The sequence below is a fragment of the Homo sapiens genome, chromosome 21 (genome assembly GCF_000001405.40).
Source record: "Homo sapiens chromosome 21, GRCh38.p14 Primary Assembly".
Taxonomy (NCBI): domain Eukaryota; kingdom Metazoa; phylum Chordata; class Mammalia; order Primates; family Hominidae; genus Homo; species Homo sapiens.
In genome coordinates, this window is record NC_000021.9 from 36941707 (window position 1) to 36962524 (window position 20818).

The window sequence follows — 20818 nt, forward strand, 5'->3', positions numbered from 1 at the left end:
TAAAAATACAAAAATTGGCTGGGCGCGGTGTCTCACGCCTGTAACCACAGCCCTTTGGGAGGCCAAGGCAGGTGGACTGCCTGAGGTCAGGAGCTCGAGACCAGCTTGGCCAACATAGTGAAACCTTGTCTCTACTAAAAAATACAAAAAATTAGCTGGGCGTGCTGGCGGGTGCCTGTAATCCCAGCTACTCAGGAGGCTAAGGCAGAAGAACCACTTGAACCCGGGAGGCAGAGGTTGCAGTGAGCCGAGATCGCACCATTGCACTCCAGCCTGGGCAATGAGAGCGAAACTGTCTCAAAAAAAAAAATACAAAATTTAGCTAGGTGGGAGCAGGCACCTGTAATCCCAGCTACTCAGGAGGCTGAAGCTAGGAGAATTGCTTCAACTCAGGAGGCAGAGGTTGCAGTGAGCCAACACTCCAGCCTGGCACTCCAGCCTGGGCACTCCAGCCTGGCGACAGTCTCAAAAAAAACCTATTAAACTTTAAAAGACTCAGATTTGCATTAAATTGATACAGAAAAAGAAAAAAACCACAGATAGAGAAGCGTTAAAGACCTCTTTTAGAAAAAGGAGAAACTGGCCAGGCTCGGAGGCTCACGCCTGCAATCCCACCTGAGAGGTGGAGGTTGTGGTGAGCTGAGATTGCGCCATTGCAGTCCAGCCTGGGCGACAGAGCAAGACTCCGTCTCAAAAAAAAAAAAAAAAAAAAAAAAAAAAAGAATGAGGATAAACCTCTTCCTCACATCATGCAAACCACGTACAAAAATTAACTCAAACTGGATCAAAGACCTCAATATAAGAGCTAAAACTACAAAATTCAGAGAAGGAAAACACAGGCATAAATTGTCATGACTTTTGATCAACCAATGACTTCTTAGATAAGACACCAAAAACAGAAGCAACAAAAGAAGAAATAGATAAATTGAACTTCATCAAACATTCTTGTGCTTCAAAAGATATCAAGAAAATGCAAAGACAACACAGAAAAATAGGAGAAAGTATTGGCAAATCATATAAGAACTCCTACAACTCAACAATAAAAAGACAATCCAATTTAAAAATGGGCAAAGGATGTAAGGCACCCGGCAAAGGCACCTGTAGTCCCAGCTACTAGGGAGGCTGAGGCAGGAGAATGGCGTGAACCCCGGAGGCAGAGCTTGCAGTGAGCCAAGATTGCACCACTGCACGCCAGCCTGGGCGACAGAGCGAGACTCCATCTTAAAAAAAAAAAGAAAGAAAAGAAAATATACAAACGCCCAATAAGCACAAGAAACACTGCTCAACATCAGTCACGAAGGAAATGCATCTCAAAACCACAGTGAGACACAAAGTCATACCCACTAGGATGGCTGGAATCAAAAAAGATACCAACAAGGACAAGGAAAAACTGGAACTCTAATACACTGCTGGTAGAAATTAAGGTGCTGCAGCTGCCTTGGAAGACTTTGGGAGTTCCTCAAAGAGTTAAACATAGAGTTACCATATGATCTAGTAATTCTACTCCCCAGTATATACCTAAGATAACTGGACCTGAACATACGAACACATCTAGATTAGGCTCAGAGGATCTTCCCAAAGGCAAGCCCCAGAGGCCTTCACAAAAGAAACAAACTACGTTCACTGAGAAACAACTGGAAGATCTGAACTTGTTCAATAAGAACGTATACCCAAACCCCAGCCTTCAGAAAGATATGGTCTCCAAAATGGAAATAGATCCAAAAGTACTGTAGGTTTGGCTCAAAAACCTTGGAGCAAAACTCAAGAAAGCCAAATGCAAGCATATTTGGCAAAAACAAGAAGCTCAACAACAGCAAATATCTGAGAATGAGGCTGGGTGCGGTGGCTCACTCCTGTAAATCCCAGCACTTTGCGGGGCTGAGGCAGAAGGATCAGGAATTCAAGACCAACCTGGGCAACATGGCAAAACCCTGTCTCTATGAAAAACTACAAAAAATAGCCAGGAGCCAGGTGTGTTGATGGGCACCTGTAGTCCCCGCTACTCAGGAGGCTGAGGTGGGATGATCGCTTGAGCCTGGGAAGTTGAGGCTGCAGTGAGCTGTGATCATGCCACTACACTCCAGCCTGGGCAACAGAGTGAGACCCTGTCTAAAAAAAAAAAAAAAATCTGAGGGTAGACTCAAGACCAATCCTTCTCAGGGAAATATGGACACACTACCCACATCCCCAAATGAGGCCCATCCTAGAGTTTACACAGATCATCAGGCACCCTCATTCCAACTAAACTTAGGCCCCAGTGGTAGGGACCCTATAGACCACCCCAGTGGCCCCAAAATAGTTCATTTTGGCTGCTGCCAAGATCTGAACATATACGGCTTCTAGACACTTCAGAATCCCAAGTTCATTCTCCAAGCTTCCATTTTAATTCTTTTGGTTCCTCATCTCTACAAAATAGAGACATCAGACACAAAAGGTCACATATTGTAATGGTTTATGATGATTCTCATACAAAAGAATACTTTTCAGCAGGAAGAAACAAACTTGAGATATGCACAACATGGATGGATTTCAAAAACATTATGTTGAGTGGAGAAAAAAGATGCCAAAGGATACATGCTGTATAATTCCATTTCTATGAATTCCTAGAACAGGAGAAACTAATTTACCATGTCAAAAAGATTCGTGGCCCAAGTAGAAAGAATTGAATAGAAAGAGGCGCAAGACAAATGCATTGGGGTGATGGTAATGTTTCATGTCTTAATGACCTAGGCAGTTACCTAGGTGTATAAATTCATCAAAACACACAGAACTGTGCATCTAAAATCTGTGCATTTTATTTTATATAAATTATACCTCAATTAAAAATTAATATACAACAAAACTAGTAAGGACAATTTCTTTATTTTTTTTCCTGCTTCTTTGTTTTGATTTTGGTTTTGGTTTTTTAATTGTTGTTGTTGTTCCATTTGTTCAGCTAATGAGATTTAGTCAGCATCACTAAGTGGACAGTTGGCTTATGTTTCTAAATCCTGTTTTTGGGTCACCTCCCTCCATCATCATACTTGAATGACCTCGTCAAGCTCCCTTCATTCATTTTGGCTCTCCCCAAGACGTTCTTCACGTAGTCACCAGGGTAATGTTATTATTCCTTTAAAAATGTTGCACTATTCCTTGGCCTGGCACGGTGGCTCACGCCTGTAATCCTAACACTTTGGGAGGCTGAGGCGGGTGGATCACGAGGTCAGGAGATCGAGACCATCCTAGTTAACGGTGAAACCCTGTCTCTACTAAAAATACAAAAAATTAGCCAGGCATGGTGACAGGCGCCTGTAGTCCCAACTACTCAGGAGGCTGAGGCAGGAGAATGGCGTGAACCCAGGAAGCGGAACTTGCAGTGAGCCAAGATCACACCACTGCACTCCAGCCTGGGCAACAGAGCGAGACTCTATCTCAAAAAAATAAAAATGTTGCACTATTCCTCTGCTTAAAATCCTTCCATGAATAAGTTCTGAAGATCTACTGTACGTCATGGTGACTACAGGTTTTTTTTTGGTTTTTTTTTGTCTCAAAGAAAAAACCACATCATATGTTGTACCCCATAAATATATACAACTAAAAAAATACTTTCATGGCCATTTTTCATCATTCAGGAAAAAAAAATATGCCCACATATAAAGCTTGTATGCAGATGTTCACAGCAGCATTATTCACAATAGCCAAAAGGTAGAAACAACCCAAATGTCCATCAACAGATGAACAGATAAATAAAATGTATATAGCTATACAGAGGACTATTATTCAACCATAAAAAGGAATGAGAATGAACTACTGATGCATGTTACAACGTGGACGAATCTCGAATACATTACATTAAGTGAAAGAAGCCAACAACTAAAGGTCCCATATTCTATGAGGCTATTTACATGAAGTATCTAAAATAGACAAATCTAGAGTCAGAAAGTAGATTCGCGGTTGCCAGGAGCTGAGGTGTCAGGGAGCAGACAGTGAATGCTGACAAGTGTGTGGTTTCTTTCTGGTGTGCTGAAAATGTTTTAGAATTAGATAATGCTAATGATTGCACAACTTTGTGAATATACTAAAAACTACTGAATTGTTTTTCAAGGGTGAGTTTCATGTGAATTATATCTCAATTTTTTAAAACAAAAAGAAAAGAGTCCAGGCAGTTTGTTTGTCTCTACACTCTTCCAGCACAGCCTAGTCAGCCCAACTTCCCAAACTTCAATCCTGGCTCCCCTGGTTAAGAGCGTGTGACCTGAGCAAGCTACTCAAATTCCCCATGCTTCAATGTCCTGTCTGTAAGGTAGAGATAAGAGCACCTACCTTGGAAGGTTACTGGGAGCACTAAAAGGGATCATCCATAAAGTGCCTGGGCCACAAGGGTGCTCTTATGGTTCCAAAATATAAAGTCCTTTAGAGCAAGTAACCTCATGAGAAACCACATCATCCCTAGTGGGCAAAAACCGAACCTGGCAGGGAATGGGGAGGTGAAAAAAATCTTAGACATTACAACAGTTTGTGGCCCTCCAAGGCTCAATCCTATCCCTCAACTTTTTTATTTTTTATTTTTATTTTTTTTGAGACAGGGTCTTACTTTATCACCCAGGCTGGAGTGGTGCAGTCATGGCTCATTGCAGCCTCGACTTCCTGGGCTCCAGCAATCCTCCCAACTCAGCCTCCCGAGTAGCTGGGACGACAGGCATGCACCACTATGACGGGCTAATTTTTGTATTTTTTGTAGAGACGAGAATTCGCTATGTTGCCCAAGCTGGTCTCAAACTCCTGAGCTCAAGCGACCCTCCTGCCTCAACCTCCCAAAGTGCTGGGATTACAGGTGTGAGCCACCATGTCCGGCCCCCCACAACAAAATCTTATTCCTTAGTAGCTCATTTCTCTTCTCAGAGTGAACGTGAATTTAATTATTCTCCTCGGAAAAACAATCATGAAAAAAAAAAACTTGAGAAACATTGCGTTTGAGGGGAAAAGAATAAACGCAGGCCTTTATGGCCAACTCACTAACCTGTGTAGAATATTTGGACAAAGAGAAACTCCAGAATTTTCATTTAGCTCTACTTGTATCTTTCCTTCCACTTTACCACCTACTTCTCCCACCTCCTCGCAGACACACAGCCAAGGGAAGCAGAATTCACCTAGAGGGTCAGGCCCACCCAATGTTTCAGCAGAGTTCTACATTTCAGAAATGACATCTTTGATTCAGGACAGAGAGTTCGTTGATTTCAGCTTTGGGAATGGGGGAAAGGACGTCAGTTCAGGAAGATGAGAAGATAAACTAACACCGTGGCAGGGCAGACTTCTGGGATGAAGGTGCGTGGGAAACAGGGAAACGAACAGGGCAACCTCCCGCGGGAAGCTAAAGGCACCATTGTCCTCAGAGCAATCAAAGGAGGAGGAGAACCGCTCAGCCAATGGAGACTCAACCCGGAATTTAGCTGTAAAAACATTGATTTAGCCCCCTGCGGTAGCAGGCACTGGCAGTGTAAAAGGAGCCAATGATGAAATTCCCACACACCTCTGAAGAGGAATGAGGCAGGAGATAAACAAAGGAAGAGGAAGGACCGGAAGAGCCCAAAGAATACATCCACACATCCCGGATCAAGTTTCTCCACTCTGCCAACTGTTTCCTCACCTAAGTGCATTTCCGTTTTCTAGGAGCGTGGTCCATGAGCCATGGACCATGCAAACGCCTTCAAGCAGCGCTGGGTGCTCCGATCAAAGCAGAACCGCGCTGTCACTGATACGTCGTCCAGGGTGTTTGCCTTCCAGTGGATAAAGGCAAACAGGACACTTTAAATTTGCACTTCGAGATGGAAACAAAGGCATGGAAAAGAGAAGGGAAGTCAAGCAAAAGGCTCACTCCCAAAGATCAAAGCTAAGGAAGCCCTGGCTGTCCCTAAACAAAGGAGTTTCCTCCTATAATAGCAGCCAGCAGAAATCTGTTAAGTAACTAAAGCTCTTGACTTGATGTTACAATGTATGGCAGCAGGCAAGGCATATCTTCTCTGCTCAACTTAAAACTCACATCCAAGAAGCAGTCCGGGAGTGAAAGACCCCAGGTTAAACTAGCACAGGTGGCCCTGCCCAACAGGGGGCATTGGCAGGCAGCAGCTCTGCAGTGAGTGGGGAACAGAAATCTCAACAACCCACTGGTACCCAGAGTCAGATCACGGATGCTGCTAATTTTTCTGACTCTTGTTTCTCCTCTTCCAAATCATCTTAATTCAACGTGAAATTGTTAAAAAGCTCTAGTAACAAATTGGATGGAGCAAGGCTGGAAACGCAGAGGTAAAGAATTTGAAAATACAGGGCCAGGCGCGGTGGCTCACACCTGTAATCCCAGCACTTTGGGAGGCCGAGACAGGTGGATCACGAGGTCAGGAGTTCGAAACCAGCCTGGATGGCATGGTGAAACCCCCGCCTCTACTAAAAATACAAAAATTAGCCGGGCATGGTAGCGTGCACCTGTAGTCCCAGCTACTCGGGATGCTGAGGCAGGAGAATCACTGGAACCCAGTAGGCAGAGGTTGTGGTGAGCCGAGACCACACCACTGCACTCCAGCCTGGACGACAGAACGACACTCCGTCTAGAAAAAAAAAAAAAAAAAAGAATTTGAAAATACAAGACTAAAGGGAAAAAGTTATTTTTAACTTTTGGCTATCCTTGCTGTCTTTTGTGTTTGGAAATAGAGAGGATAAAGGAGAGCTACAAAATTGACTTTCACTTGATATTATGTAAAAAGACAGGCCAGATGCAGTGGCTCATGCCTGTAATCCCAGCACTTGGGGAGGCCGAGGCAGGAAGGATCGCTTAAGCCCAGGAGTTCAAGACCAGCCTGGGCAACAAGGTGAAACCCCATCTCTACTAAAAACAAAAGACTAGCTGGGTGTGGTGGCACACGCCTGTATTCCCAGCTACTTGGGAAGATTAGGTGGGAGGATGGATTGAGCCCAGGAAGTAAAGGCTGCAGTGAGCCATGATCATGCCACTGCACTCCAGCCTGGATGACAGAATGAGACCCTGTCTCAAAAAAAAAAAAAAAAAAAAAAAAAAGACAATATACCCTATGGCACTTTTAAGGGTATTGGAAAATCAAGTAACAGCGTAAGAGTTATCACAAAGTCACTGCAAGCAGGAGCTGAAATAGTCAACTAACCCAGATGGAGCTGAAAAGAGGAATTGCGAAACCATGACTGACAAGATGCTCAGGGAAAGGGCAGGTCTCGCTGAATAACTGAGAAAATAATACAAATATTATGAGAATAAATATCTTTGTTGCCACACAGAAGAATGTTATTATTGTGTTCTGTAGACAGCCGATACACCGCCGAGGCCTGCTAAGGTGTGCTGCATTCACATCCACAGTTACCTCCCACCTCATCCCCCCATTCCACTGATGTAAGCTGAGGAAGAAGAGGAGTTTTAAGAGGTATCCCAAGTGGTTTAGTTACCCACTCATGTGTAACAAACCACCCCAAAATTCAGTGGCTTAAAACTAATCATTTATTTTGCTCACAAATCTCAATTTGGACAGGACTGGGCAGGAACAGCTTAACTCTGCTCCATGTGGCATCAGGTAGAGTGACTAAACCAGGGCTGGATGACCTACTTTCAAGATGCCTCTGTCACTGAGCTGGAGCTGCCTGTCAGCTGGGAGCTCAGCCAGGGCTGTCCACGAAGAGCCACATGTCCTTCTACTTCATGTGGATCTCGCCACAGGGCAGCTTGAGCTTCCTCACAGTATGGGAGCTGGACTCCCAGATGGCATGTTCCAAAAGCCCAGATGGAGGCTCCAAGGTTTCTCATGATCTGGCCTGAGAATTTTCAGAATGTCACTTCTACCATATCCCAATGGACACACAAATCACTAAGGTCAGTTCAGATTCAAGGGAGGGGGAAGTGACTCCACCTCTCAATAGGAGGAAAGAATTTGCAGCCATCTTCAATGCGCTGCAACAAGTTTGTGCCAGCAATTAGTCTTCCCCTTCTGCATGAGAATGACATGTCCCTAAATGGGCATGCTCCTTTGGCCCAGGACCCTGCACAAGAGAGATGTAGAGAGCAGAGAGCTCAAAGCAGAGTCACAGCTGGAAACAGCGCAGCGAACCTGCTGAGCATGAGTAACATACCCAAGAAACTAGGATTCACTGTTAGAAGCCACTGGGATTCTAAGCTTATCTGTTACTTCAGCAATCTGATTAACACAATGTGCAAAACTGCATTCCTGACAACAGCCTTCTAAGCCCTTCCTGCTACATTCCCCATCTGCACAAGTGACCCACCATCCACCCACAGGCCATCACCTCCTAACCAGTATGGACATGTCTCTATCTCAGCGTTCCTACTCCCAACACTCATCAAGCCCATTATCTTTTCCCATGTGGCCACAATCTGTTCCAGGTTTGCTCCCCTCCAATCCCTTCTGCAATCTGCCTGAATTGTGACCTTCCTAAAGTGCAAATCTGATCATTCTGCTTTAAAAAAAAAAATAGTTTTAGCCTACTGTCCCTGGGATCAAGTCCAAATTCCTGGTTAACACATATAAGCCTTGTTTGATGTATATATTATGTCCAATTTGAGTATATTCAATTCTGCTACATAGAAAACAAGAAAACCAATAGCATGGATGAAACTCATAGTGAGTCAAAAGCTTGTAAGACACGCTCAAGACAGACAAAATAAGTGGAACATACGTGCATTGAACATAGATAAAAAGGACAAAACCAGAGTGTTAGTCCTAGGCAGAAAGTCACGGGAGAACCAATCTTTTTTTTTTTTAGAGGAAGACAGGGTCTCACAGCTTTGTCACCCAGCCTAGAGTTCAATAGCGCAATCAGGACTCATTGCAGCCTCGACCTCCTGGGCTCAAGCAATCCTCCCACCTCAGCCTCCCAAGTAGATGGGACCAAAGGCATACGCTACCATGCCTGGCTAAATTTTTTTTTTTTAATTTCTTGTAGAGACAGCATCTTGCTATGCTGCCCAGGCTGACCAGGGCCAATCTTATCAAATCTTAAATATTAGTAAGACACAAACTATGCCACTTGACAGTTATATCATCCTTAATTTGGCCACCCATTTTGACCCCATTTATATACTGTCTAGAAACACATGAAAAAACACACACAGCATCCCAGCAGGTCTCTGGTAAGCCACAGCTATTGCAGACATATATATCCAAATATCTCCAACAAAGCACCTTCCACCTTCTGGGCCCTTGTGTAACTTCAGCTCTAGTCCTTGTGCTGACACCATTGGCAGGGAAGGCTGATGCAGCAGAGAGACAGGACTCCATGTATGAACATTGCATGGCCCAGGATTCAGGTTGTGCTGCTTCCATTCCATAGGCACCTGATCCTAAGTGTTAACCAATCCCAGAACTCTCCCCTTATTTCTTGCTGCATGTTTTGAATTGATGTGATAAACAATGTGATTCGAGCGTCTTAACTCAGCCTATGAGCCTCTCTATTCTGTGACTGCTGGAATAGGCTGCTTGGCCATGTTCTTGGAAGCTACCACCATATCAGGGTAATTTCCCACACAACATTCCAGCCCCTGCTTTCCCCTCTGGCCTTATCTAGGGCCATTCCCCAACTCAGGTGAATGCAGACTCCAAATGTACTGAGCTGTGTGCAGGGGCCAGGTGCAAATGCTTTCTGTGCATCTGCACATGCTGTTCTACCTGGGAAGTCCTTTCCTCCTTTCACCTATTTTTACCTTAAACCTCAGACATCATCTACCCTGGAAAGTCCTTCCTGACCTCACGCATCTAAGTAGGTCCCCCCCATAATCCCTATCCATGCCTTCTATAGTACTTAACATGGTGACCTTTAATTGTTCATTTACTTAGCTCTCTGCTCTCCCACACTGTGAACTCCTTACAAACAGGGAATGTCATCTCTGAATGAATCTTTCATCTCCATGTAACACATGCCTCCAACCCTACCTAGCACACAATCTGGCATATAACAGGCACTCAATAAACCTTCAATGAATGCCTTGATCAAGTACAAGGAACATAAGCAAATTTCCTGTGGAAAAAAAGAATTGTATTAAGTTCTTTGGGTCAACAATTCTTACTAAATGCAATTGCTAATATAAGTATAGAAAATATTGAAAACTGAGCTGAATCTGCCATCACTTGTTGGTATTACTGCATCAAGCAAAATAAGTGAAACGTAGCTGTTCAATAAATGTTAATGAATGAATAAGCGAAAATATGAGTATGTGAATGCTACATTTTTTAAAACTGAATTTTAAGATCCATTTATCTGTTGTTGGTAATCTGTAGAATTACCACAGATCAAAGCCATTTGAAATATCCAAAATTCAAAAAGATATTTTAAATATCTTTAAGAGTTGTATAGTCTTAAAGATGTGAAAAAATATAAGATCCCATCAATTCAAATGTCCTTCTTCCATAATATATTTTTCTATTTAATACCTTAGGACCCTGTTAAATTCAAATGGCTGTGAAGTCAGGTAGAACATACACACACAGATTCATAAGAACCCCCCAAAATGCAAAATCCCATCAAGCAGTCAACCCAAATGGGAACTGTCAACTTGGCTAGAAGACAGTGAGCTATGAGATCAATCCCTTTTTAAGTTTTGAATCCTAATTTATAAAATGGAGCTCGGGGTAACAGCCAGAGTGGTCAACATGAATGGCTCTGGACGTCTCTAGCTCCTGGTTGCAAGACCCACTGATGTCTCTGATCATAAGTGAAATTAGTTAACTGGACTGTGGCAATCCTCCTTGTTGGGAAGGCATTCTCCTACCCCAGAAAATTAAGAATTAAGTAACCACGGCCGAGCGCGGTGGCTCACGCCCGTAATCCCAGCACTTTGGGAGGCCAAGGCGGGCAGATCATGAGGTCAGGAGATGGAGACCATCCTGGCCAACATGGTGAAACTCCGTCTCTACTAAAAATAAAAAATTAGCTGGTTGTGGTGGTGCAGGCCTGCAACTCCAACTACCCGGGAGGCTGAGGCAGGAGAATTGCTTGAACCAGGAAGTCGGAGGTTGCAGTGAGCTGAGATCGTGCCACTGCACTCCAGCCTGGTGACAGAGTGAGACTCCGTCTCAAAAAAAAAAAAAAAAAAAAAAAGAATTAAGTAACCACCATTCAGCAAGAAGGTCTTAATTAAATCTTCCTTGGAAAGTCAGTTAACTGAAATGATAGCTGTGACAGAGATGCTAATTATCTCCCAAAATCTAGCCTTTCTTTCTCCCTTACAAGAACAGAACTCCCAGTTTCTGCTGAATCCATGACTGTCCAGCTAGGGAATGCATTTTGCAGACTACCCTGCACCTAAGTGACCAAGGGGGCTATGTGACAAAGTTCTGTACAATGAAATGGGAGCAGAAGTCGCCACGTGAAATTTCTGAATCACAACAGTATTTTTTTTAATTTACTAATTTTTTAGAGATGAGGTTTCACTCTAATACAATGGCAATCAAAGCTCACTGCAACCTCAAACTTCTGGCCTAAAGTGATCCTCCCACCCCAGCCTCTCAAGTAGCTGGGACCACAGGCGGGAGCCACCATGCCAAGATGGATCACAGTTTTAAAGAGGAAACTGGTTGTCTCCCAACCTTCTCTCTTCCCCCACTCTGAAGGCTAGATGAAGCTGACACTGGTGGAGTAGCACGGGAGCCAGACTCTAGCAAGAGAGAACCACTACCTAGGATAGAGGAGGGAAGACAGGAGAAGGAACCAAGGAAGAAGATGAGGAAAAAAATGGGTCCCTGGATGGACTTCCAAAGCAAAACCACTGCCCAGAGAGAGAAATTTAACTTCTAGCTTGTTTGAGCCCCTGTAGCTCTGGGTCCCACTGTTATACAACTTAGCCTGTATCCTACATAATATAGTAACTATGTTCCTTAAGACGCTGTACATCTTTTAGCCCCATAAAGACATATAATTAACAATTTAGGAAATTAAAAGCACGGCAGTCATTATTTTATGCTAAAAAGGAACCTGAACATATTTGATATTTTATATAATTGCAATATTTTGGAAAGTCTGATCTTGGCTTTAAGTTGAAATCTTACTAAATTTATATATAATATTAGAATATATAAGAAAACTTCAAGCTTACCATATTTGTAAATTTAATACAGTCATGTACCACATAATGTCTCGCCCAACGATGGACCATATATATGATGGCTGTCCCTCATAAGATTACAATGGAGGTAAAAAATTCCCATGGTCTAATGACATTGTAGTACAGCACAGTACTCACGTATTTCTGGTGATGCCGGTGTACACAAACCTACTGGGCTGTCAGTCATATAAAAGTATAGCACAGACAAGGCCAGACGCAGTGGCTGATGCCTGTAATCCCAGCACTTTGGGAGGCCGAGGAGGGTGGATCACCTGAGGTCAAGAGATCGAGACCATCCTAGGCAACATGGTGAAACCCCGCCTCTACTAAAAATACAAAAATTAGCCGGGCATGGTGGCTCGCGCCTGTATTCCCAGCTACTAGGGAGGCTGAGGCAGGAGAATCACTTGAACCCGGGAGGCAGAGGTTGCAGTGAGCTATCACACCACTGCACTCCAGCCTGGCGACAGAGCGAGATTCCATCTCAAAAATAAAATAAAATAAAATAAAAAGTATAGGCCAGGTGCAGTGGCTCACACCCATAATCTCAGCACTTTGGGAGGCTGAGGCAGGCAGATCACGAGGTCAGGAGATCGAGACCATCCTGGCTAACATGGTGAAACCCTGTCTCTACTAAAAAAATACAAAAAATTAACCAGGCGTGGTGGCGGGCGCCTGTAGTCCCAGCTACTTGGGAGGCTGAGGCAGGAGAATGGCGTGAACCTGGGAGGTGGAGCTTGCAGCGAGCCGAGATGCGCCACTGCACTCCAGCCTGGGCGACAGAGCAAGACTCAGTCTCAAAAAAAGAAAAAAAAGTATAGCACAGACAATTACATACAGTACACAGTACCTGATAATAAACAACTGTTACTGGTTTATGTGTTTTCTATGTTTTCTATTATTTTAGAGTGTACTCCTTCTACTTATTAAAAAAACAAAACAAAACAAAACAAAACAAAAAAAACAGCTGGGTGTGGTGCCTCATGCCTGTAATCCCAGCACTTTGGGAGGCCGAGGCGGGGGGATCACTTGAGGTCAAGGGTTTGAGACCAGTCTGGCCACCATGTGAAACCTCATCTCTGCTAAAAATATAAAAATTAGCCAGGTGTGGTGGCAGGCACCTGTAATCCCAGCTACTTGGGAGGCTGAGGCAGGAGAATTGCTGGAACCTGGGGCCGGAGGTTGCAATGAGCCAAGATAGTGCCATTGAACTCTAGCCTGGGCAGCAGAGTGAGATTCTGTCTCAAAAAAAACCCAACAAAACAGTTAACTGTAACAGCCTGAGGCAGGTCCTTCAGGAGCTACTGTGGGGGAAGGCATTGTTATCACAGGAGTTCACTGCTCCATGCACGTTACTGCCCGTGAAGACCTTCCAGGAGGACACATGTGCAGTGAAAGTCAGTGATACTGATGATCCTGACCCTGGGCAGCCTAGACTAATGTGTGTGTTTCTACGTTAGTTTTTAGCAAAAAAAGTTTAAAAAGTAAGAAACAGGCTGGACATGGTGGCTCACAACTATAATTCCAGTGCTTGGTGAGGGCTGAGGTGAGAGGACTGCTTGAAGCCAGGAGTTGGAGATCAGTCTAGGAAACATAGCAATTTGTATGTTCACAAATTTGTAGAGATAAATAAATGAAAATAAGAATAAAATTTTAAAAACAAAATTTTTTTTTAAATATATAAAATCTTAGAAAAAAGCTTTTAGAATAAGGATAGAAAGAAAATATTTTTTACAGCTGTACAATGTGTTTGTTTTAAGCTGTTATTACGAAAGAATCAAAAATTTTAAAAAATCAAGTTTATAAAGTAAAAATATGATAGTAAGCTAAGATTAATTTATTATCGAAGAAGAAGGCTGTTATAAATTCAGTGTAGCCTAAGTGTACAGTGTTTATAAAGTCTAAAGTAGTGACTGTTGTGTCCTAGGCTTTCACATTCACACGCCACTCACTCACTGACTCGCCCTGAGCCACTTTCAGTCCTGTAAGCTCCATTCATAGCAAGTGCCCTAGACAGGTGTACTGTTTTTTATCTTTTATACTGTATCTTTACTGTGCCTTTTCTATGTTTAGATACACAAATACTTACCACTGTGTTACAGCTGCCTACAGTATCCAATGCAGTAACATGCTGTACAGGTTTATAGCCTAGGAGCAATAGGCTACCCCATAAATCCCAGGTGTAAAGTAGGCTACAGCATCTAGACTTGTATAAGTACACTCTATGATGTTTGCATGATGAAATCACCTAAGGACGCATTTCTCACAATGTGTATCTGTCGTGAAGCAACACATTAACTATAATGTATACGAATTATGTAAGTGTTCAAAAACGTGGTGTCTGTTAATCCAGACAACTTAAAAATCTAAAAAGAAACTGGGAGGAGGGGTAGGGGGAGTCATGAGGAAGGAGCAGGAGCAAGTAGATGGACTCAGGGGGTGGGGAGGCACGTGTAGTTCTAGCGGTGAGTTCATGGGTATTTATTGTATTATTTCAAATCCACAGGTGAATGAGATCCATGCATAAACCAACGATGAGAGTACATTTGGAACAAGGAGTATGGTTAACCCAATTCTGTGTACCTAGAGTCCTAAAATGAAATGAAATATTTTAAGATATTTGAGTTTGTAGGCCAGGTGTGGTGGCTCACACTTGTAATCCCAGCACTTTGGGAGGCCGAGGTGGGCAAATCACAAGGTCAGGAGATCAAGACCATTCTGGCTAACACGGTGAAACCCCATCTCTACTAAACATACAAAAAAAATTAGCCGGGTGTGGTGGTGGGCGCCTGTAGTCCCAGCTACTCGGGAGGCTGAGGCAGGAGAATGGCATGAACCCGGGAGGCAGGGTTGGCAGTGAGCCGAGATCGTGCCACTGCACTCTAGCCTAGGCAACAGAGCGAGACTCCGTCTCAAAAATAAATAAATAAATAAAAAATAAATAAAAGTCCAAGGAGCCAGAATGGTGGCTCATGGCTGTATCACAGCACTTCGGGAGGCTGAGGCGGGCAGATCACCTGAGGTCAGGAGTTCAAGACCCACCCTGGCCAACATGGTAAAACCCCGTCTCTACTAAAAATACAAAAAATTAGCCGGGTATGGTGGCAGGTGCCTGTAATTCCAGCTACTTGGGAGGCTGAGGCAGAAGAATCGCTTGAACCCAGGAGGTAGATGTTGCAGTGAGCCAAGATTGCACCACTGCAGTCCAGCCTGGACAACAGAGCCAGACTCCGTCTCAAAAAAAAAAAAAAAAAAAGCCCAAGGAATTGGTTACTGATAGAATCTGGAAGTTTGTCCCCTCCAAATCTCACGTTGAAATGTAATCCCCAGTGGTTGAGGTGGGGCCTGTGGGGGAAGTGTTTGGGTAATGGGAACAGATCCCTCATGAATAGTGTGGTGCTGTCCTCCCTATAGTGAGTGAGTTCTCACAAGACCTGGTTGTTTAAAAATGTGTGGCACCTCCCCCAGCTCAGTCTCACTCTCATTCTTGCCATGTGACACACCTGCACCTCTGTCACTTTCTGCCATGACTGTTCCTCAAGGCCCTCACCAGAAGCACATGCTGGCACCACTCTTCCTGTATGGCTCGCAGAACCTCTTCTTTATAAATTATCCAGCTCCAGGTATTTCTTTATAGCAATGCAAGAACTGCCTAATACAGTTACCATATGACAAGGCCTCTTTGTAGTTCAAAAAGAAAAGCCAGATATTAGCAATTTCATGTGATTTGACCTACTTGATTATTTAATTTATATTTTCAATAAATTCAAAATCATTTTTAAAATAAAAATAAAGTTTATGAATCGTCTTTTCTGCATATGAAAATTAGCCCTGAATTGGCTGGGCGCAGTGGCTCATGCCTGTAATCCCAGCATTTTGGGAGGCAGAGGCAGGCGGATCACGAGGTCAGGAAATCATCCCGACTAACATGGTGAAACCCCGTCTCCACTAAAAATACAAAAAATTACCTGGGCGTTGTGGCACGCGCCTGCAGTCCCAGCTACTCGGGAGGCTGAGGAAGGAGAATGGCATGAACCCGGGAGGCAGAGCTTGCAGTGAGCCGAGATCGCGCCACTGCACTTCGGCCTGGGCAACTGAGCAAGACTGCGTCTCGAAAAAAAAAAAAAAGAGGCCGGGCGCGGTGGCTCACGCCTGTAATCCCAGCACTTTGGGAGGCCGAGGCAGGTGGATCCCAAGGTCAGGAGATCGAAACCATCCTGGCTAACATGGTGAAACACCGTCTCTACTAAAAATACAATAAATAAATAAATAAATAAATTAGCCGGATGTGGCAGCATGTGCCTGTAGTCCCAGCTACTCGGGTGGCTGAGGCAGGAGGATGGCGTCAACCTGGGAGGCGGAGCTTGCAGTGAGCCGAGATCGCGCCACTGCACTCCAGCCTGGGCGACAGAGTGAGACTGTCTCAAAAAAAAAAAAAAAAGAAAGAAAGAAAGAAAGAAAATTAGCCCTGAGTTCACCAAAACCGTCGTATCAACAGCTGGTCGTCTTCTACCAAACATAAGAGACACAAGTACTGTTTGACTGGACCTAGGTTAATAAAAGCTTTATTTTGGAATCTCAATGATCTAGATCTCTTTAAAACCATTAATTCGTTCTCTAGTTACTAGAAAGGATAGAAGCATTGGTTAAAATCTTATCTCTCACTTAGCAGCTGGTTAAAACCTTGTCTAGGCCGGGAACAGTGGCTCACGCCTGTAATCCTAGCACTTTGGGAGCCTGAGGCAGGCAGATTGCCTGAGCTCAGGAGTTCGAGACCAGCCTGGGCAACACGGTGAAACCCGGTCTCTGCTAAAATACAAACAATTAGCTGGGCGTGGCAGCGTGCGCCTGTAGTCCCAGCTACTTGGGAGGGTGAGGCAGGAGAATTGCTTGAACCCGGGAGGTGGAGGTTGCAGTGAGCTGAGATCGCACCACTGCACTCCAGCCTGGGCAACACAGCAAGACTCCATCTCCAAAAAAAAAAGAAAGAAAACTTTGTCTGTCACTTAGCAATGATATTCCTATCACTTTAGGAATGTCATTTAATCTTATAACCTAAGTTTTCTTATCTTCAAAATGGCAATAATAATAATGATAATACTTTGTAGAGCCGTTAAGTATTAGTGATGACAGCTGCAGCCAGTCTGGAGCAGGGTAGGCGCGGCCAGGGATACGCGCTCTGTGGAACCAGGGGGAGCTGGGAGCAGGCAGGAGCCCTTCCCGCTTCTGAGTTGGCAGGGCAGGAGCCCAGTGCTCCCAGGCATAACTGCAGCCTCCCAGCCACAGCTGCGGACCTGGGCATCCCTGCACTCTCAGGGGTCCCAGAGGCCCCCGCTTCCCCACAGGCTTGGAAGTGCCTGATCCCGCTGCCTGGCCTCTTCCTGCTCCCTGTGCCCGCTCTGATTCTGGAGCAAAATTGAAGCTGAGCCTGGGCGGTGTCGCAACCCGGCCAGGTGGGTGCTGCTCAGGATGGCGCTGACACACCAGCCCCCTGCCACCTCAGCCCCCCTCTAGACTTTAGGAGCCACTCTGGACCACGAGGATGGGAGGGAGGCCGAGGAGGGGCTGAGGACGGCTGGTTGCAGGCCTGTAGGCACCCCTCAGCACAAACAGCCTGGGCACCTTGGACAACATGACTGACAGCAGAAGGCAGACAGGCTCATAGGTAGAAAGGGGCGGGTCCCTGGTGACGCCCTGCCTTCAAGCCAAGACCAGCCCAAAACCTGGGGACCTGGCTGTCAGTTCCAGGTGAAGCCTGTGGCCCAGAGTGAGAACTTAGAGTGCTTTTTCTGGCCCGCCCATGGCTGCCCATGGACCAATCAGCACGCGCTTCCTCCCTTCTGAGCCCATGAAAACCTCAGACCCAGCCAGACTCACACAGAGGCTGGGACTACCAGCTGCAGAAAGGAGCTACCCACTTCAGGTCTCCTGAGAGCTGTTCTGCCACTCAGTGAAGTTCCTCTCTGCCTTGCTCACCCTCCACATACCTCATTCTTCCTGGATGCAGGACAATAACTCAGGACCCACCGAATGGCAGTACTAAAAGAGCTGTAAGACAAACCAGGGCTGAAACATGTCCCCGTACTCACTACATTGCAGGCAACAAGAAGGAGAGAAGAACTGTGGCCCTTTAAGAAGCCAAGATCTAGGGGCTCCCCAAGCCAAGGCTGTAAACACCCTCTTTGGGGCTCTGCGGTTCCCAGCGTCTCCATGCTTCCAGGTGCCACCATGTTCCCCTTGTCCAGACACAGGTGCCCACAGCAAAAGCCTCATTCAGTACACCTGGTCCAGCCACAGCCTTGCATGGAGCCACCCACCCCCCCCCCCCCCGACCCTGCACTTCTCACCCACACACCCCTTGCCGCTCTGCACCCAGCTTGCCCCTGGTAGGTGTGCAATCTGAGCTGGTAGAATGAGCTGAGTGCAGCCTGCCAGGCCAAGTGGGTGGAATAAGACCAGTGGGCACAAGCAATACTTAGGCAGAAGGCACCGCTAGCCACAGAGGTTTCTGTCTGGTGAAACGACACCCCAAGGATCCTGTGACATTAGGGGTAACGTTTATAAAATACCTAGCAAGGGCTCAATAAATGGCTTATTATTATCATAAGTGTCTACAGGGCTAAACGAAACATTACAAACCTTCAGGAGAGAACGTACTGTCTTAACACACTGCACTGCTCCAGGCCCATCTGCCTGATGCTCTGCCCGCTCCAGGGCCCCCATCAGAAAGTCTCTCGCTATCCTATACTATCTGCACCTGCCTCCCCTTATTTTGGTTCACCCTGAATTCCAGTCAATTACTTCTTGTTTACTTCCCCATTTTTCTTCTTCTCTCAATACAGCATCTTACAGATAATCTTCATGAAATGGGAATCCAGTAAACATGGCTAGCATCAGCAAAATCCCCACTGGATGATCTACATAGCAGGGAACAATGGCGGGTGAGGACCCACAAGTGAGGGGAAGGAAGCTGCAAGGGTACACTGGGGTCAGACCTCCAGGAGCCTCAGGGCATGGACTGCACCTGGAGGGATGACATCCACCAAAAGCTTATGCAACACTGTCCCAACTGGATGTGGGTCCAGAATGACTAACTCTGGCCATCAAGAGGAATGCCCAAAGAAGGGACATGAGACAGGGTATTTTCACAGCTCAGACAAAAGATAATGAACATGAGGATGGAATGAGGAGCAGTGGAGATGAAGGAGAGGAGCTAACAATTTAGGGAGTGCTGTTACAACTCATAACTTCACGGAAGCGAGGAGGAGGTGCGAGGAAAAGCCGGCTGGCGTGTTAATTTGGGATTTTCTCTCTTTGAAGCAGAAGAATACAAACACAACTCATTTTGGACATGTGGCTGAGGTTGAAGTATTTTCAGAATACTCAAGGAAAGACGTTTAGGACGTAGGTGGTGATATACCCCAGCCACTCAGGTTGATTTAGGAAGCAAGAAATTGTAGGAATGGATGAGATGACCTGAGAGAGAGTGCTGCTCAATAAAAATATAACGTGAGCCACAAATACAAGCCACACACGTGGTTTTAACTTTCCTAGCAGTGACCAGGCGTGGTGGCTAACATCTCTAATCCAAGTATTTTGGGAGGCTGAGGAGGTAGGATCCCTGGAGCCCTGAGTTTGAGGCTTCAGTGAGCTATAATGACCACTGTACTCCAGCCTAGGTGACACAATAAGACCCTGTCTGAAAAATAATAACAATAAATTTTTCTAGCAGCCACATTAAAAACATAAAAAGAAACAGGTGAAAATAATTTTACTAATATATTTAACCCAAAATATCCAAAGAGAAAGGGAGCCACAAAGGCTAGGAAAGAGCACTCATAAAAAGACAAATTTGAGGCCGGGCGTGGTGGCTCACACCTGTAATCCCAGCACTTTGGGAGGCCGAGGCAGGTGGATCACTTGAGGTCAGGAGTTCAAGACCAGCCTAGCCAACATGGCAAAACCCTGACTCTACTAAAAATACAAAAATTAGCCTGGTGTGGTGGCACACGCCTGTAGTCCTAGCTACTCTGGAGGCTGAGGCATGAGAATCACTTGAACCCAGGAGGCGGAGGTCCCAGTGAGCCGAGATCACACCACTGCACTCCAGCCTGGGTGACAGAGCAAGACTCTGTCTCAGGAAAAAAAAAAAAAAAGCAAATTTGGTTTTGACTAAGACACATCAGTTCCTTATGGGACACAAGTAAACATGGTACTCACTGTTTCTGAAGAGGATGATCTCTGTAAATTCTCACTTTGTACCCAAATGCTCTCCGTCACAAATGCTATGTGTTCTGCTTCAAGTATAAAAGGAGACACAAGAAATAGGGCCCACTTGTTCAAGTCTTCAATGGACTGTATAGAGGGAAAGAAATATAATGAGATTGTCACTTCATACCACAACTGCCATAAATTTCAACCCCCTCTGAAACATACCCTCCCCTATAATTCCAAGTGACATGGAAATAAGCTTATCTGATGCTCCTCTGCAGGCCGCAGGAACCGTGTGTTTCTTGTTTAGCTGTGACTGTTTAAGCACCTGCAAAAGCCCATCGATGACTCAGGACAGCTTTAATATCTCTAGACCACTGTTTTCAAGCCATGAATTCTGAAACGGGGCCTATCCCCGCCATTCCTCACTGCTTAGCACACAGTAGCTAACCGGGAAGTACATTTAAAGATGAGGAGGCTGGCCGGCACAGTGGCTCA

The 20818-nt window shown here is 45.1% G+C and overlaps 1 protein-coding gene and 1 pseudogene across 17 annotated transcripts in view, besides 1 other annotated feature; one reads left to right on the forward strand and one right to left on the reverse strand.

The window, feature by feature from the left end:
- HLCS (holocarboxylase synthetase) overlaps positions 1–20818 on the reverse strand; it is a 241587-nt gene that overhangs the window by 193082 nt on the left and 27687 nt on the right. For 12 of the 17 annotated variants that reach the window (NR_148021.1, NR_148020.2, XM_024452065.2 and 9 more), the window contains exon 2: positions 20330–20464. Coding sequence is in view for 5 of the 17 variants with exons in the window: in XM_047440752.1 (XP_047296708.1) it covers positions 20330–20464 (135 nt within the window). In the remaining 12 variants the exon portion in view is untranslated. Of the gene's footprint in view, positions 1–4302; positions 4449–5626; positions 6582–20329; positions 20467–20584; positions 20653–20818 lie in introns of those variants that run through there. The other 5 variants (NM_001242785.2, NM_000411.8, NM_001242784.3 and 2 more) reach the window with 4 other exon arrangements.
- Positions 1454–2548, forward strand: DPRXP5 (divergent-paired related homeobox pseudogene 5; annotated as a pseudogene).
- Positions 5168–5721: an enhancer, noted in NCBI's record as "OCT4-NANOG hESC enhancer chr21:38319174-38319727 (GRCh37/hg19 assembly coordinates)". NCBI's record gives its function as "activates a minimal SCP1, AML or CMV promoter by ChIP-STARR-seq in primed H9 embryonic stem cells {active_cell/tissue: H9 hESC(primed)}" and the evidence as "EXISTENCE:reporter gene assay evidence [ECO:0000049][PMID:30033119]".